The following is a 17,558-nucleotide window of genomic DNA, read 5'->3' as shown; positions in this document are numbered from 1 at the left end:
ATGCAACTACTAATGTTAAAGTTTCACTAAAGTGGTTTCTTCTACGGGTTGCAATTTAACAGTCTGCCTATTGGAAACAACCCTTTGTTATCTTCCTTCGTGTAGAATTTTTGGTAGAAGGAAAGTTTACCTGCCCACCCAACCCCAGCCATTCAGGCATTTGATTTGCAGTTATATCACCTCATTAACTTTAATTGGTAAAATTAATTATGAAGACTGTGGTGCAGAATGATTTGTTTATGTTTATTCTTGCCAAAATAAGTACCAGGCATTTGAAGACCTAGAATTGCGGTCAAATTCCTCATTAAAGTGTGAGAGGAGCAATAAAGTCCATACATTTTGTGTTTCATCTAAAACTGTCAGACCTCCTCACCACTGCATGGGTTGTTACAATGCTCGGATTAGAAGGTTACCTATCCCGCTGATGCTCAACCCAGCTTCATGAACACCTACTCTTTGAATCCCCAACATCACTTTAAACTGGCTACTCTTTGCTCAGATAGACTCTTACACCTGTCTCAGCAATTCTGGGAGAGAGGCTTTGAAGTGCCTTTTCAAATCTCCTGTTAATGATCTGGTAAGTATTGTGGTGACTTTTCAATGAGGTGTGAAGTGCTCAGGTAGTTATCAGCCAAGAGAATCCCAAGGTACTGGGGAACGGGGACACAGCCAAGGAAAAAGGGAAAAAACCCTCAGCGTGGGCCTGCCTCTCAAGTCACAAGGGCAGCACCATCTGACCAGAGAGGGGGCCCTGCCCAAGGCTGGCATGGCCACCAAGAGCTCCTGTTGGCAGATGAGACCTCTCTGATGTCCTGGGACCAGTCCGACTATAGAATCTGGGGAAACTGCAGAAATGACCCCCAAATTCCCACCAATACTATAGCAGGCAATGGCAAGTCCCACAGCTGGCTCCAAGGAGGAGCCACACTCTTGTACACAGACTGCAATATTGTCCCCAGTCCAGTCCCAATTGAGTCCCTCCCTTCATGATCCACAGCCATTTTAAATGGTCTGGTCTGGTCTGCCATCCATAGAGTGGCCTAAGCGAGAGCCATTGATGCTTTTTCTCCCAGCACTCCTGTTTTCAGATGTACCACACAGCCAGCTGGGGTCAACCCAGGTCAGCTGTGCTGGGCACCCCCAACATCTGGAGTGAAGCATGCCCCTATCTCCACACCTGTGCTCCCCCAACACCTGTGTCCACCTGTCAAAATAAAAGCACCACAGGGATCAGGCACAGGGTGGAGAGTCTCTAGCAGTCTGAGCCTCATGACAAAGGAGGCTGCAAAACACACCAAGGTGTTATAACTGTCCCAAGTTCTCGCAACATTTGAGCAGGTCCATCCAGCCCTGCTCCCCCAAAAGAAAATCCTAATAGAGAAGTGAAATGCCAGCCCTGAGGGTCCATTTGGCTGTGGAGTCTTATGGAACAGAGGTCATCATCTGGTGCGAGCCCCTTGTTTTATCAATGACACATCTGGGAAGGTAATGTGACATGCTCCAGATCAAAGCTTCGCTAACTAATGTCCCTCATGGGACTAGAAGCATATCCCCTGGGACTTTTCTACCACCCACGGCTTTTCCACCGTGAGTTCAAGGTGCCTGCATATTTGCACATGCTGGCTTGACCAGTGTCCTCAACAGACAGCAAGGCCTTGGGGGCAGGGACAGCTAGGCCAGCTGTGCCCTTGGCCATCTCCAACATGCCCTAGCACAGAGGTAACTGAATATAGCTGCCATTGTGCTGACTGGTCTACCTCTCTCACCTGGCTCCTGGGGCCCCAGACTCCAGCCCCATGCAGGCCTAAATCTGCTCCCAACACTGGTATCTTCTCTGGGTTGGTGACCATGGGTATGGCTCTAGTTAAGTGCTAGAAATTCACTTTCCAAGCTATGGGTCCTGATCTGCATCTCTTTGGTTAAACAAACCCAGCAGATGGCTGGTCTGTGATCCTTTTTTCTGTTGGTCTGGAGAGACTGAGAAGCAGACACTCCAGGCACGAGCATTTTTAGGTCAGTTTTTTACCCTCTAACAATGATAATACTATGTGACAAGATGGAAAAAACACTCTTCACCAAAATTCCTCTTAGGGAGAGTCTTGTTTGTGTGGAGAAGAAATACTCCAAGCCAGTGGTTCTCAAAGTGTGATCCCCAGACTGGCAGAATCAACATCACTTGGGAATCACCTGGAACCTTGTTCGAGATGCAAATTCTCAGGTCCCACCCAGATGTGCTGAATCAGAAACGCTGGGGCAGCGCCCAGCACCTGTGCTTTCTGGAACCCTCCAAGGATTCTGGTGCAGTTAGGTCTGAGAAGCCCTCCTGGCCATTTGCAATGGAGGTAGGAACCTCAGAGGACGGGCTCCAGTGGCAAAAATCAGGGCTCAACTGCCTCATAAGGAGAAAGAATCTAGCTACTTGAATGGCTCTGGTGGGGGCGGTGGGTGGGGAGGGAGTGTCCCAGGATGAATTGGGAGGGAGGAGCTAGGAGAGATTTAGATTGCTCTTTGTGACTGACAGGAAAGGCTTTTGAGTTTCCTTAAAGCAAATCAAGACAGGAGGAGAGTGAAGACAGGCTAGGTGCTGCATGAGAAAGACACAAGAGACTGAGACCCCACAACGGGACTATTGCAGGGGATGTGGACAACAAAAGAGTATAGCAAAGAATTGACAGTGGAATTGCACGCCCCAGTGCAATGTGACCTCTCCCTCAACTACAGAAAGTGTCAGTAAAGATTATACGAACAATCACTTGCACTCAGTGGTTCAATGCTCCTCGTGAACACCACGAGAGGGCTAAATTCTGCATAGTGCTTTCAATGCCACGCTAAGCAGGAAACTCTGTAAATACCATTGTAATGGCTGCATACTATTTCATAATGTGAACATGGCTACATTGACTTAACTATCCCCTTATTTATAGACATTAAGTTTCTTCCAGTTTTTTGCTATCATAAACAATGTATAATACACATCTTGGAGCTAAAAATTTTCTTTATTCATGATTATGACCTTGAAACAGACTCACAGAAGTTGAAGGATTTGGTTCAAATGCTCAGCCCTACAGAGCAGCGGTCCCCAACTTTTTTGGCACCAGGAACTGGTTTCATGGAAGACAATTTTTCCACACATGGGGTAGGGGATGGTTTCAGGATGATTCAAGTGCATTACACTTATTGTGCAGTTTATTTCTATTATTATTACATTGTAATATGTAATAATTTTGTAACTCACCATAATATAGAATCCGTGGGAGCCCTGAGCTTGTTTTCCTACAACTAGACAGTCCCATCTGGGGGTGATGGGAGACAGTGACAGATCATCAGGCATTAGCTTCTCATAAGGAGCACACAACCTAGATCCCTCGCATGTGCGGTTCACAATAGGGTTCGTGCTCCTGTGAGAATCTAATGCCGCGCTGATAGGAGGCAGAGCTCAGGTGGTAATGCGAGCAGTAGGGTGTAGCTATAAATACATATGAAGCTTTGCTCCCTGGGCTTTCCTGCCACTCACCTCCTGCTGTGCAGCCAGGTCCATGGCCTGGAGGTTGGGGACCCCTGCTATAGGAACAAAAATTTCTCCTGAGATTGAGCAGGGGGAAGAAGAGTTACCCATAGCACTTATGAATATAATTAAGAGGAGAAAAAAGTACTCTTCTTGCTTTTAGAGGGTTCTAAGACTAGAGCCAGGCAACCTCTGGGGGTGTGAAGAGAGGAAGTGAAGGGGCTTCCCAGTTAAACTTAAAACCCTGTTAGGACTGAAGTTGTCTTGAGTGACAACAAGAGGGTTGACAGATATTTCCTGCATGTATTTGGTTGCAGTGTAGGAGACCCAGTTTAAGCTAGCTTAAGTTTTTAAGCCCACAATCTGATCACAGTAGGGATAGCAGGCTTCAAGTCCAGCTGGATCTAGGGTCTCAGATGACAATGTCAGGCCTTTCTGCATCTGCCACCTCCTGCCATTAGCCTTATTCCTTCTTACTGCAAACAGGCTGTATTAGTCTGTTCTTGAGCTACTATAAAGAACTATCTGAGACCAGGCGCGGTGGCTCACGTCTGTAATCCCAGCACTTTGGGAGGCCGAGGCAGGCGGATCACGAGATCAGGAGATCGAGACCATCCTGGCTAACACGGTGAAACCCTATCTCTACTAAACATACAAAAAATTAGCCGGGCATGGTGGCACGTGCCTATAGTCCCAGCTACTCAGGAGGCTGAGGCAGGAGAATTGCTTGAACCCGGGAGGCAGAGGTTGCAGTGAGCCGAGATCGTGCCACTGCACTCCAGCCTGGGCCACAGAGCGAGACTCCATCCCAAAAAAAAAAAAAAAAAAAGAACTATCTGAGCCTGGGTAATGTTTAAAGAAAAGAGGTTTCATTGGCTTATGGTTCTGTGGGCTGTACGGGCTTCTACTTCTGGGGAGGTCTCAGAAAACTTACATTCCTGGTGGAAGGTGAGGGGAAGCAGGTACGTCTTCACATGGCCATGGGAGTGGGGAGTGCTACACGCTTTTAAACAGACCTTGGGAGAACTCTGTCACAAGAAAAGCAAGGGGGAAGTCCACCCCCATGATTCAATCACCTCCCACCAGGACCCCCTTCCAACATTGGGAATTACAATTCAACATGAGATTTGGGTGGGGACACAGAGCAGAACCCTATTATAGGCTTTCTGTGTGCCGGGAGAAGGGAAAGGGGCATGGAGTGGAGGGAGACGTGGGCAGAGCTGCATACTGCTCCAGTCTCACTTCCTCCAGCCAGTGATTCCAGAGGAAAGAGCAGCCTTCCTTTCTGGCTTTATGTCAAGGAAGATCTCTGATTGGCTGGCTTGGGTCACATGCTTGTTCCCTGGACAAATCACTGTGGCTATGTGGTTGGGGCATCATGATTGGCTAGGCCTGGGTCACATGTCCATCACTGAACCAGCAAGCAAGGTACTGTAATTGGTATCCTCACTGGAACCACACAGAGTTAATAAGCAGCAGGTACCCAAAAGAGAGGGATGCCCTTTCCAGAAGAAAGTGGAGAAGGGATGTAGGGCAGATAAACCACAGATATTCACTACAGTCTGCGTTTCTCATAACCCTGGCCAATAACTGCTGAGTACTGAGTACATCACATTTTCTCCCTGAGCCCTCTTATGGCCCTGGCATACTTTTAGTTTTTTACAGGTTTATTGAGGAATAATTGGTATACAAATAACTGCATACATTTAATATGTACAATTTGATGAGTTTGGCCATATGAATACTTTTTTTTTTGAGACGGAGTTTCACTCTTGTTGCCCAGGCTGGAGTGCAATGGTGCAATCTTGGCTCACTGCAACCTCTGCCTCCTGGGTTCAAGTGATTCTCCTGCCTCAGCCTCCCGAGTAGCTGGGGTTACAGGCATGCACCACCATGTCTGGCTAATTTTGTATTTTTAGTAGACACAGGGTTTCTCCATGTTGGTCAGGCTGGTCTCAAACTCCTGACCTCAGATGATCCGCCTACCTTGGCCTCCCAAAGTGCTGGGATTACAGGCGTGAGCCATTATGCCAGGCCTATGAATACATTTGTGAAACCACCACAGTCAAGTTAATAAACACATCTGCACCTCCAAAAGTTTGTGTCCCTTTTGGGGGTGTGTGTGTGGTAAAAACACTTAACATAAGATCATAAGATTTATCCTCTTAACAAAGTTTTAAGCACACCATACCATATTGTTAACCATAGGCACTATGTTGTATGGCAGACCTCTAGAACTTATTCATCTCGTGTATTTGTCCGTTCCCGCACTGCTATGAAGAAATACCTGAGACTGGGTAATTTATAAAGAAAAGAGGTTTAATTGGCTCACAGTTCTGCAGGCTATACAGGAAGCATGGCAGCATCTGCTTCTGGGGAGGCCTCAGGGAGTTTTTACTCATGGTGGAAGGCAAAGCAGGAGCAGGCATCTTATATGGCAGGAACAGGACCAAGAGAGAGACGGGGAAGGTGCCACACACTTTTAAACAACCAGATCTCACAAGAATTCACTATCACCACAATAGCACCAAGGGGGATGGTGTTAAACCATGAGAAGCCGTCCCCATGATCCAATCACCTCCAACCACCAGGCCCCACCTCCAACTTTGGGGATTACAATTTGACATGAGATTTGAGCGGGGACACAGATCCAAACCATATCATCTCATATAACTGAAACTTTATACCCATTGAACAACAACTCCCCATTTCCCCTTTCCCCTATCCCCTGCCAACCACTATTCTATTTTCTGCTTCTAAAAGTTTGAGTATTTTAGATCCATCATATTAGTGGAATCATGCAGTATTTGTCCTGTGACTGCCTCATTTCACTTACTGTAATGCTTTCCAGGTCCATCCATGTTGTTGCAAATAGTAAGATTTTCTTCTTTTTTAAGGCTGTATAATATTTCATTGTATGCACATACCACATTTGCTTTGTCCATTCATCTGTCTTTGGAACATTTCGGTTGCTTCCACCTCTTGGCTATCGTGAATAATGCTGCAATGAACCTGAGAGTGCAGATATCTCTTAAAACTCCTGATTTCAATTCTTTGGATGTATATCCAGGAGTAAGATTGCTGGATCATATGTTAATTCTATTTTTAATTTTTTGAGAAACTTCCATACTGTGCAGCTGCACCATTTTACATTCCCACTAACAGTGCAGTATTTCAATTTCTCAGGGTCCTTCTTAACATAGCACTCCAACAACCACTCCTAGACAATCCAAGTTAGGCTACAAAATAAAAGTGATTTGCCATTTTGGAGCTTAAAACAAGACGCCAGATTATCAATGAGCAAGGAACTAAAATAGACAAGATTTAAGAAAAGTTTAGGCCACAGGGGCATAGAAGAAAAGTTTAGGCCACATGGGTCCTCCCTGGGAGATGTCCCTTCTTGGGACAGAGGTCACTGAGGATATGGGTTTTGGTGGGCAGAGAGATGGCTGGGCCTTTGGTGGATTGTGGGACATTGTGAGCCTCTTTGGTTTGCCTCTAGAAGGGTAAATAATGTGTTTTCTTGCCATACTGTCACTCACAATTGAGTGACAAGTGGGCAGCTCAGATCTCTAGGCTTCATTGGTCTAGATTTCCACAGGAGTTTGGTTACAGAAGAGGTCTGATTCCTTTCTCCTGCGCACTCCATCTCTTGCTCAGCAGCCAGCCAAAAGGCATGAGCCATGCCAGGTGAGGTGGGTAGAGCAGGCCAGGACCACAGGCCCAGCTGCAGGGCAGCACTGGACTCTTCTGGAGAAGCTCATGGCACACATCTCCAAAGTCCAGAGGGCAGAACAAACCCAGATACAATCAAGATGGAGGCTGCCCTCGAGGTGCCACCTGGGCAGCAGGGAAAGGGCACAGGAGGCCCTGAGTGACCATGGCATAAAGCTTCAAGCAGGCAGTCCCATGGGGATTCTGCTACTGTGTGAAGGACTGCAGGAGTCTGCTCAGCAGCCCAGGTAACAGGAAGCATGACCCAGGACTGGATCCAAGTGATGGCAGGAACAAGCAGAAGGAAGAGAGAAAGAGACATTAGCCCCACCCTCCCCAACCAGGATGTGGTGTGGAGACAGGTTCAGTCACACCAGAGGGGGAGTATGAGCAAGTGGCAGGCTCTAAGTCCAGGTGGCCAGAGGCAAAGTCATCAGCTTAAAGTTTCCACAGTCTCCAGGCATATAGTTCATGTCTTTATTTACTCATTTATTTAATAGTTTTTGAACACTTACTACATATCAGGTACGGTCCCATGTAATTTTAAAATGTTAGTTCTTTTAGTCCTCACTACAACCCCGTGAAGCAAGTGCTCCATTATTATTCTCATTTTACAGTTGAGAAAACTAAGGCTCAGAGTGGTAAGCATTATGCCCAAGACTGTACAGTTCATAGATGATTCAAACCCCAAGACAACCTGGTATCCTTCCAGACCTGGTCTTCACTGGTCCAGGGCCTAGTTAGAGAAGGTCAAGAAGGCTCCACCTACAAATTACCCAGAATCTTCTGGAGTCTGTAGCTGGAATGCTCTTTCAGTTAGTCTCCTCTGCTCAGCCTAGTGATGACCCAACAGCCCCACTTAGAACATGGGCTCCAAGTTTTTGCCTATTTCCACGGATTTATTCAAACTTAAGGCCAGGGCTGGTGCAGCCTGGGCTTCCATCTCACACCTGAGTCTCCTGGAATCTCACCCAGGTCCTCAGCAGAGCTGGAAGGAGCAAGCCTTAATTGCATCAGAACGGAAGCTTGCTGAATACACCGGCACTCTTGGTGCATGCAATCAATCCTCCACCCTGTAAATCTAGTTAGAAGTGTGATTCCAGCAATTATAAAGGCCATCATTTTCCTCTTCTTTCCTAAGTAAATTAGAAAGGCTCATTGCTCTCACTTTGCAACTGGACCTCATTTTTAAAGTGCAGCTATGAAAGCACTGCAAAGGAGTATACTTAGAGAGGCGCTGTGCCTGATGCTCAGTTGGCCAAGGGGCTTGGCTTCTAGCCCTGGTTTTGTTATCAACCAGATTGTGATCTTTGGTACAGCCAGGACCCCTCTCTGTGCCTTGGTTTCCACATGTATAAAATCAGGAGTTTGGATTAGGTGGCCTCTAGGATCTCTTCTAACTGTCATGGCCACTGGATTTGCTTGATTGCCAAGGATGGCCCCATGTAGATAGAAATTTAGCTTCTTTTAAGCTGGGAGCTTGCCCTCCCTATTTTCCACATACAGTGATGAATCCATGCAGGTGGAAATATACCAGTTTCCACATTAGGGTAAGGACAGAGAAGAAGCCACATGCCAGTGTTCCAAAAAGCAGTACTTTCTGGAACTAAAAGTGCTAGCTAGCTGGACTCACTGAATACTTACCCTGTGCAGGCACTGAACTGGCTGTTTTATAACAATAAACTCATTTAACCCTCACAATAGAGCAGCTATTAGGCCCATTTCATAGACATGAAAACTGAGACACAACAAGACAAAATGGTGTATCCAAGCCAGGTTTGCTAGGCTCCGTGGTCATAGTCACAACTCTCTCAAATCCCCAAATCTGAGGACTTTAGTAGAAAAAGAGAGAACAGACTGACCAAGAGGCAATCTCAACGTGAAGAGACTGTCAGGCAGAACATCTGCCTGAATGAGCACATCCAAGCAAACTTCAGCTGTCCCACAAGCATGTAGGAGCCCATAGATCCAGCAAGAAGGACTGAGGTTAGAAGGCATGAAAGGCCATGATAAATGTGTTCCAATGTTCCTGACTCTCTCAAAATGGGCTTTTGCTTCCCCCATCTCTTCTGCATCTCTGTAAATGGAATGCCAATTATTTCCTTTGAAGGGAATGTTAGTGCTGTTTTGAAGCAGCATGAAGTAAATTTTTATGACACTTTTAGTGGCTGATGGGGAACATCCAGCTGCCTTGACTTTGATGGTGCAGCTTTGTCTCTCAGGTTTGCAACATTGAAATCCTCAGAATTTACAATTATGAATGCTAAATGTCATCTTAATTTGTTATAAGGTGGATACACAAACCACAAAATATCACTTGCTTTAAGGGCTGTCTCTCCCAAAAAAATTACTTTAAGTGGCACACAAATTTATAGAAATGCATGTTACCATATTACAAAACATTTTGTTTTCAAGGAATAGATTCTGTTAGGTTCATGTGATGGACATTAACCCCAGAAATAAGTGTTTCACAGCAGTCGTTTCACAGAAACCACTTTTCTGTCCCTATCAATGTGTGTTAGTTTCCCTGGACTTTTTCCCCTCTCTCTTCCGTACCTCTCCAAGTAATTTGTTTAAAAATCCACCAATGTCATACGTGAAGGCTCCTAAGTAAATTGGGAGCTGCAGGCTGGGTGTCTGTCAAGCTGTATCCCAGGTTCCCGACCAGCACTAACTGAGCACCTACTCTGTACCAGGTGCCATGCTGAGCATTAAAGACACCAGTGGAGGAGACACACTTGATAGCAGGAAAACCACAAGCCAGAGCTTCATCAGTAAGGATGCATCAGACTGGGAAAACATCCTTAAGTATTTCAGTATTGGCAGAATTTATGAATTGAGACTGGATGCAGGGTATATTCCTGGAAGGCTGAAGAGCCAATGAGTCGGTCCTTGTCCAATGCCCAGCCTTCCTGCACCTGTTTTCTCATCAGTAAAATGGGAAGATAACCTCCAACTCGCAAGGTTGTTAGTGATGATGGAGGCCATTCAGCAGGGCTGCAGTGAAAAACAAGGTTGTCAGACAAGGCTTGAATCTCGGCTCCACCGTTGTATGACTGTAAAAGTCACTTTATCCTTCTGAGCCTCAGTTTACTTCATCTGTAAAATGGCACAGAAATCTCTTCCTCATGGAACAATGGTAAGGATGCATTTCAAGCTCTTAGCACAGCGCCTGGCACAAGTAACTGCCAGTTAAGGGACAGCTATCATCTGGTAAAGGTGCCAACGTCAGGCTAAGCCCAGGAGAGGTGCTCTCTCAGCAGGCATTTCTCTCGTTTTCATTGACAAGAAAACTGAAGGGCACCACATGTACCACATGGGCACCACTTTCCTCCCAGTGCTCTTTTAGACACTCTCCATCTCTCCAGAAGAGCAGAAGCTTCTTACTTCCTCAAAATGTCTTTGCTGAAATCTTACCAGATGAACAGCATGACTACAGAAAAGAAATACAGGCAGCAGTCCCTGCCTACCATGCACACAAGGTATCCACATGCAAACATTTAATGTGCAAGACAGAATTAAGTCTAAGTAACAATGTAGGCTGGCAACAGTCGGCTTGTCCCAAGGCGGCCCATGATTACCAAATGAACTGTGCAGGCTGTAACTGCAGCCAGAATTCTGCAGAGGCAACCCTCCCTTCTGACCATGGTGGTCAGGAAGGATAAATGTCCACACCCTGGAGATTGGGTAGAGACATGGGGGGGGCAGGGGGGCGGGGAATCGAAATGCTTCATGCAAGCAGAGGGCAAGAGACTGTCAGGGTCTAAATCAGCTGAACACTGGGGGCTTCCAGACTTCCATTCCAGCGGCCCCTGGCAGATGCCCAGATCTTCAGCTGCTCCTGCAAACCAGTCCTCGAGCCTCCCATATGAGAAATGGGATGTATCAGGAGGACACCCATGAAAAGCATTATTTTCTTCACTTCCCAGTCCTCCCCAAAACACACACTCAACACAAGTACGACAACCTCCTATGACTTTGATATAGCTGAACCACTGGCTTCTAGCTGCTGCTTTTTTCCGTCCTGTTGTTATGATTCTTTTGTGGTTCTTGCTTATTTCTCAGTCTACAACATATGGTAATCATATCTTAATTCCACCCACATAATAAAAGAGAACCAATGAATTGCTGTACCTGCCACACTCTGAGGTCACTGGATGAAAGGAATTCAAATAACTCAGAGAGATCTTTTTTTAAAGTTATTACTTCAATAGGCAGTATAAGGAAAAATTAGCTAATACTGGGGAGGAACATAGGAAATGAACAGAATGAAATTACCATGCATCATTCCTAATAATTTTCTTTGATGTCCTCAATTATTGTGTTCTAACAATACAGTCCATGGAGAAAAATGTGCTGTCCTCGTTTTATGGACAATCAGAAATTTATCAAAGCCTTCCATTCATTTTATAAATATTACAGGATTTGGGGAAATGGAAGGGATCTCATCTGCCTTTCTTCCTTAAACCTGATATAAGGACTGTCTAGGTGGTTCTGTCCATCTCCACTCCCTAAGATGCCACTCATGTCTTGCTGGGTTGACTCAGTCTATTGAATTCACTCACTCATTCCTCAACTATTTATTGAATCCCTACTGTGTGCCATGTACTGTTCCATTGAACAAAACAGGTAGTTTTGCTTTGAGGGAGCAGACATGCAAATAAAGGAAGATACATTAAACAAAGAAAAACACAACCGTGTGTCAGCTGATGAGAAGTACTGAAAGAAGTGGGACAATGCATAAGAGGCTGGAGAGTGATGGGGAGGCCGGGTGCGGTGGCTCACGCCTGTAATCCCAGCACTTTGGGAGGCCGAGGCAGGTGGATTACTTGCGGTCAGGAGTTTGAGGGCAGTCTGGCCAACACGGAGAAACCCCATCTCTACTAAAACTACAAAAATTACCCTGGTGCCATGGGGGGCAACTGTAATCCCAGCTGCTGGGGAGGCTGAGGCAGGAGAATCACTTGAACCCAGGAGGCAGAGGTTGCAGTGAGCCAAGATTGTGCCATTGCACTCCAGCCTGGGTGACAGACTGAGACTCTGTCTCAAAAAAAGAGGAGTGATGGGGATGGTGGGAATGGGCATTGTTTATAGAGATTGGTCAGAACAGGCATCTCTGAGGAGCCGACATCTGAGCAGAGATCTACAGGAAGAGAGGGAGCAAGCAAGACAGGTATCAGAACACTGTCTCAGGCAGAGGAAAAAGCATGGGCAAAGGCCTTGAGTCGAGTTTTCTTGGTGTGTTCATGAAACAGCAGGGAAGTCAGGATGTCTGGAACAGAGCAGGTGAAGAGAAGAAGGGAAAGTAGGAGAAGATGGATCAGAGAGGTGGCCAGAACCACAGCTTATGAACAGGTGTCAGCCGATAGCTCAGGCAGAGTTCTTTACCAGTAGGCAGACTCACTCAGTCAGCCAACACGAGCATGGACCACCCTTTGCCCTGGCTGGCCCTCCAGGTCCCTGCCGAGCTGGAGGGAGGACCACAAAGAGATCATGGTTGAGAAAGGTGGTGAGACTTCAAATTTTCCTCTTTTTTTTTTTTTGGTAGAAGTAACATTTGCACATTTTAGATAATATGAAAAAAATGCAGAAAAGAATAATGATGCAGAGGCAGAAAAGTAAAGACATCAGGTAGCTGGGATTAGAATTGTTTCCTCCCTGCTTTCCAACCTTTGTATAAGGCTGTTATATTTATAAAAAATACATCTTTAAAAAGGAACTCAACTGAAAGTTTATTTTATCAAAATAAAATAGAATTGTACCACATACTTGTTTAACTTATGCACAGACCTTGATGCCTACTGCCATGAGATGAGATGCCTCTAGTTCTTTATTTAAAAAAAAAATGAACTTTTCAGATGAGGGAGACTGTACTGATATCCTGGCTTTGCCACTAACTGCTGTGGGACCTCAGGTAGGTGATTCACCTTCTCTGAGCCTCAGTTTTCTCATGGTAAAATAGGCATCACATCCATGGGATTGTTGTGAAGATTAGAGATGATGTGTGTGTATGTGTCAAACACCTGGCACGTGGAAAGTACTAAACAAGCGGAAGCTAGTCAGAGGTAGGCAAATTTGTTCAATCAAGAAGTATTGGCCGGCCACGGTGGCTCATACCTGTAATCCCAGCACTTTGGGAGGCCAAGGCAGGCGGATCACTTGAAGTCAGGAGTTTGAGACCAGCCTGGCCAACATGGTGAAACCCCGTCTCTACTAAAAATACAAAAATTAGCCAGACGTGGTGGCGCATGCTTGTAGTCCCAGCTACTCAGGACGCTGAGGCAGGAGAATGGCTTGATCCTGAGAGGCGGAGGTTGTAGTGAGCCGAGATCGAACCACTGCAGTCCAGCTTGGGTGACACAGCAAGACTCTATCTCAAAAAAACAAACAAACAAAAATGTATTTACTGAGCCTCTACCCTGAGCTAGGTGCTTTTCCCGTTGCTGGGAACAGTAGTAAACAAGATAGAAAATAACTTCCTCGCTATCTTCTGTTCTCAAATTCCAAAAAGATAGCAAATCAATCTAGAAAGTAGGATCTGTGTTACTATTTGAAGGGTAATTACATTCTGAATGAGGGCGAGGTGACGGAGTCCTCAGGACGGCACCTGCTGGAAAAGTGGGCAGAATGCAGGTTGCTAGGATGCAGAGCTTCAGTGGCGCAACTTTGCAGGGAACTGCTTGGCTCCCCAAATAGATCTCTTGTCTTTTCCCTTTGCTGCTGCCTTCCCCCCTGCACAGACAAAGCCAGGAGTGTCTCAGGAAAGCTCAGGAAGCCTCTGCCTCTGACTGAAACCCCAGAGAATGTCATCTGCAGTCACAGGCAACAGCCTGGCTCAAAACGCACCCCTTGAAGATTAGGCCTCCCTCAGCCCTCAGGATCACTTGATATTCCTGTTCTTCAGGGTTCACCAGACACATGGCTTAAATTAAAACTGTTCTGCCACATCACTGAGCAGCTTCTGTTCCTGATATGCAAAGGTTGAAAGGAGAAGTCATTTTTATTAAAAGCAGGAAAATTCACATTGTTCTCCCTGGTAGCACCACTTCCAAGCACAAAAGTGATGGAGGCTGAAACGAAAAGGGAGTCCCATCCCCTTGGGGAAATGAACCATTTCTGTAGAAACCAAGGACCACTCTAGGCAGCCAACTTGGGCAGCACTGTTAGTAACCACATCACAGCAACCACCATGTGGGAACATCTGGGGACAGATAGACACTGGGTTGGGAGTATTATCACAGCAGCCCTGTGAGGAGGTACCACCCACCCCCCAACTCAGATGGGGAAACCAAGGCTAAGTCAGAATAATGGCTTGCTTAGATGGCAAGAGGTGGAATAAGTTGGGGAGCTTTATTTTGAGGCGTTTTTGCAACTTTCTCAGTCCCATTTTACTCATTGTTAGAAAACAATGGACAAAAGCTTCCAGAAAAGTAATCAGCCAGGATGCCTAGCAATGTAGCTGGACTCTTGGCAGACCTCTCAGGATTAGCTGGTTTAGAAGGAAGGCGGTTTTGTTGAGGCCTTTCTCTGCTCCCTCCACCCCTCCCCTCTCCGAATCAGGAATACTTGGTGCTCATGGAGTACAAGGGCTTCCAACTAAAATAAAATAGATAATAATTCAACATAAATGTCCCCTAAAGAACGATGGGAATGATGAAGGGTCGTTGAAGTTTGTTTCCAAGTGTGAGGGGCCGAACTACTAAGAAAGTGCTTTTCAATATAAATGTGATAAATCTGATCTCTTGACACGTTATTCTTGGTAGCCCTCCTCCCGTATAATATCCCAAAGGGGATGAACTGCCCCTTTGACGTGGGTTCTAACCTACAACTGTTTCATGAACACGCGCTCACTCGACCTGTCAGGACCTGTGTCCTCGGGACCCCCAGGCGGCACAGCTTCAGGGCTCACATTCCCCCCAGCCAGTCACTCTCCACTCGAAACTCCACAGAGTTCTTGGAATTTTCCTCGCTTGCTGCGAGGAGAATCCCAAGTGAGTCTGCTGTGTTGGAGCCATTAAAAAGCAGCCAAACTCTACAGATTTGAGGTAAGAGACACCGTAAAAAGGCAGAAAGAGCTAGTGGCGCGGACTTGTTTCTGGCTCATGAGTTGGCCTAGCGAGGCCCTTTCCCCTCTCTCGACCTCAGTTTCCCCTTCTGTAAAACAAAGGAGGTTCGGTAGCACTAAGGCGAGACAGCGAAGCTCCCCTCAGGCCTGACAAAAGGATGGTCTCCGGGCCCTGGAGCCTCCCTCTGAGAACGCGATTCACCCGGAGCGCGGGGGCGCCCGGGCGCGTCCGCAGGCTTCCCCGCCCGCCCGCACGCACCCCGGGCGATCCGCTCTCCGCCGCGCCCCCGCACCCAGCCCCGCCCCGGCGATTCCTCTCCCAGCCCCGGCGCGTGGAACCCCGCCCTCCCCTGAGTCCCCGAGCCTGGCGAGCGGAGGGCGGGGCGGGGCGGGGCACGCGGGAGGCGGAGCCGAGCCGGGGAATCCTGCTCTGGGATAGCACCCGGCCCCGCAGAGCAGCGCGGCAGCCCAAGGGCCCCGGCGCCGGGGGCGGCGGGGAACCCCAAACGCAACCGGGTCTGGAGGGATCCCCGCGCCGAGCCAGCCGCCGTCACCGCCTCCGCGCCGCCCCTGCGGGCTTGGCAGGCGCCCGGCGCGCCCGCACTGCGCCCGGCCGCCGGCTCCCGCGGTCCCACCGTGAGCTCGCCGGCCCGTCGCCCGCTCGCCATGCAACCGCCGCCGGCCTCGCGCGCGTAGGCGCCCGCCGCAGGCCATGCTGCCCCTGCTCGCCGCGCTCCTGGCCGCCGCCTGCCCGCTGCCGCCCGTCCGCGGCGGGGCCGCGGACGCGCCCGGCCTCCTCGGGGTGCCCTCCAATGCTTCAGTCAACGCGTCCTCCGCGGACGAGCCCATCGCCCCGCGGCTGCTGGCCTCGGCGGCCCCCGGGCCCCCCGAGCGCCCGGGCCCGGAGGAGGCGGCGGCGGCGGCGGCGCCGTGCAACATCAGCGTGCAGCGGCAGATGCTGAGCTCGCTGCTCGTGCGCTGGGGCCGCCCGCGGGGCTTCCAGTGCGACCTACTGCTCTTCTCCACCAACGCGCACGGCCGCGCTTTCTTCGCCGCCGCCTTCCACCGCGTCGGGCCGCCGCTGCTCATCGAGCACCTGGGGCTGGCGGCGGGCGGCGCGCAGCAGGACCTGCGCCTCTGCGTGGGCTGCGGCTGGGTGCGCGGTCGCCGCACCGGCCGCCTCCGGCCCGCCGCCGCCCCCAGCGCCGCCGCCGCCACCGCCGGGGCGCCCACCGCGCTGCCAGCCTACCCCGCGGCCGAGCCGCCCGGGCCGCTGTGGCTGCAGGGCGAGCCGCTGCATTTCTGCTGCCTAGACTTCAGCCTGGAGGAGCTGCAGGGCGAGCCGGGCTGGCGGCTGAACCGTAAGCCCATTGAGTCCACGCTGGTGGCCTGCTTCATGACCCTGGTCATCGTGGTGTGGAGCGTGGCCGCCCTCATCTGGCCGGTGCCCATCATCGCCGGCTTCCTGCCCAACGGCATGGAACAGCGCCGGACCACCGCCAGCACCACCGCAGCCACCCCCGCCGCAGTGCCCGCAGGGACCACCGCAGCCGCCGCCGCCGCCGCCGCTGCCGCCGCCGCCGCGGCCGTCACTTCGGGGGTGGCGACCAAGTGACCCGCTCCGCTCCTCCCTGTGTCCGTCCTGTGTCCGCGCGCGCGGGTGCCTTTCCCGCCGGAGACTCGGCCGGTGTGCTTCGTGCTGTAGTTATCGTTAGTTCCTCTTCCCGAGATGGGGCCGCCGAGAGACCCCAGCGCCTTTGAAAAGCAAGGTTTGTGCTGCGCTTCCAGTTCCGAAAAGCAGATGTTTAAGCCCTTGGACTGAGGGTGGGATCGCAGCTCCGAAGACGGAGAGGAGGGAAATGGGGCCCTTTCCCCTCTATTGCATCCCCCTGCCCGACTCCTTCCCCGCACCCACGTGCCCTAGATTCATGGCAGAAAATGACCAAATCCTGTGTATTTGTTTTATATATTTAATAACTGTTTTAAATGAAAGTTTTAGTAAAAAAAATACAAAACAAAAAGATTAAATTGCTATTGCTGTAGTAAGAGAAGCTCTTTGTATCTGAACATAGTTGTATTTGAAATTTGTGGTTTTTTAATTTATTTAAAATTGGGGGGAGGGCATGGGAAGGATTTAACACCGATATATTGTTACCGCTGAAAATGAACTTTATGAACCTTTTCCAAGTTGATCTATCCAGTGACGTGGCCTGGTGGGCGTTTCTTCTTGTACTTATGTGGTTTTTTGGCTTTTAATACAGACATTTTCCTCCA

The 17,558-nt window shown here is 48.9% G+C and overlaps 1 protein-coding gene across 1 annotated transcript, besides 3 other annotated features; it reads left to right on the top strand.

Moving 5' to 3' along the window:
• Positions 1,185-1,685: an enhancer, noted in NCBI's record as "H3K4me1 hESC enhancer chr3:45281831-45282331 (GRCh37/hg19 assembly coordinates)". NCBI's record gives its function as "activates a minimal SCP1, AML or CMV promoter by ChIP-STARR-seq in primed H9 embryonic stem cells {active_cell/tissue: H9 hESC(primed)}" and the evidence as "EXISTENCE:reporter gene assay evidence [ECO:0000049][PMID:30033119]".
• Positions 15,491-15,830: a silencer, noted in NCBI's record as "silent region_14281". NCBI's record gives its function as "represses an Ori minimal core promoter by ATAC-STARR-seq in GM12878 lymphoblastoid cells {active_cell/tissue: GM12878}" and the evidence as "EXISTENCE:reporter gene assay evidence [ECO:0000049][PMID:35858748]".
• Positions 15,737-17,558, top strand: TMEM158 (transmembrane protein 158). The gene has a single exon (NM_015444.3). It carries the CDS (start codon positions 15,997-15,999, stop codon positions 16,897-16,899), a length of 903 nt encoding a protein of 300 aa, NP_056259.2. The 5' UTR covers positions 15,737-15,996; the 3' UTR covers positions 16,900-17,558.
• Positions 15,841-15,910: a silencer, noted in NCBI's record as "silent region_14280". NCBI's record gives its function as "represses an Ori minimal core promoter by ATAC-STARR-seq in GM12878 lymphoblastoid cells {active_cell/tissue: GM12878}" and the evidence as "EXISTENCE:reporter gene assay evidence [ECO:0000049][PMID:35858748]".

This window comes from Homo sapiens, chromosome 3, assembly GCF_000001405.40.
Source record: "Homo sapiens chromosome 3, GRCh38.p14 Primary Assembly".
Taxonomy (NCBI): Eukaryota; Metazoa; Chordata; class Mammalia; order Primates; family Hominidae; genus Homo; species Homo sapiens.
This window is presented reverse-complemented; position numbering and strand designations above follow the sequence as displayed.

What these genes read in the sequence shown, in the direction of transcription:
- TMEM158 (NM_015444.3), top strand. Translation starts at nt 15,997, where the DNA reads ATGCTGCCCCTGCTCGCCGCGCTCCTGGCCGCCGCCTGCCCGCTGCCG.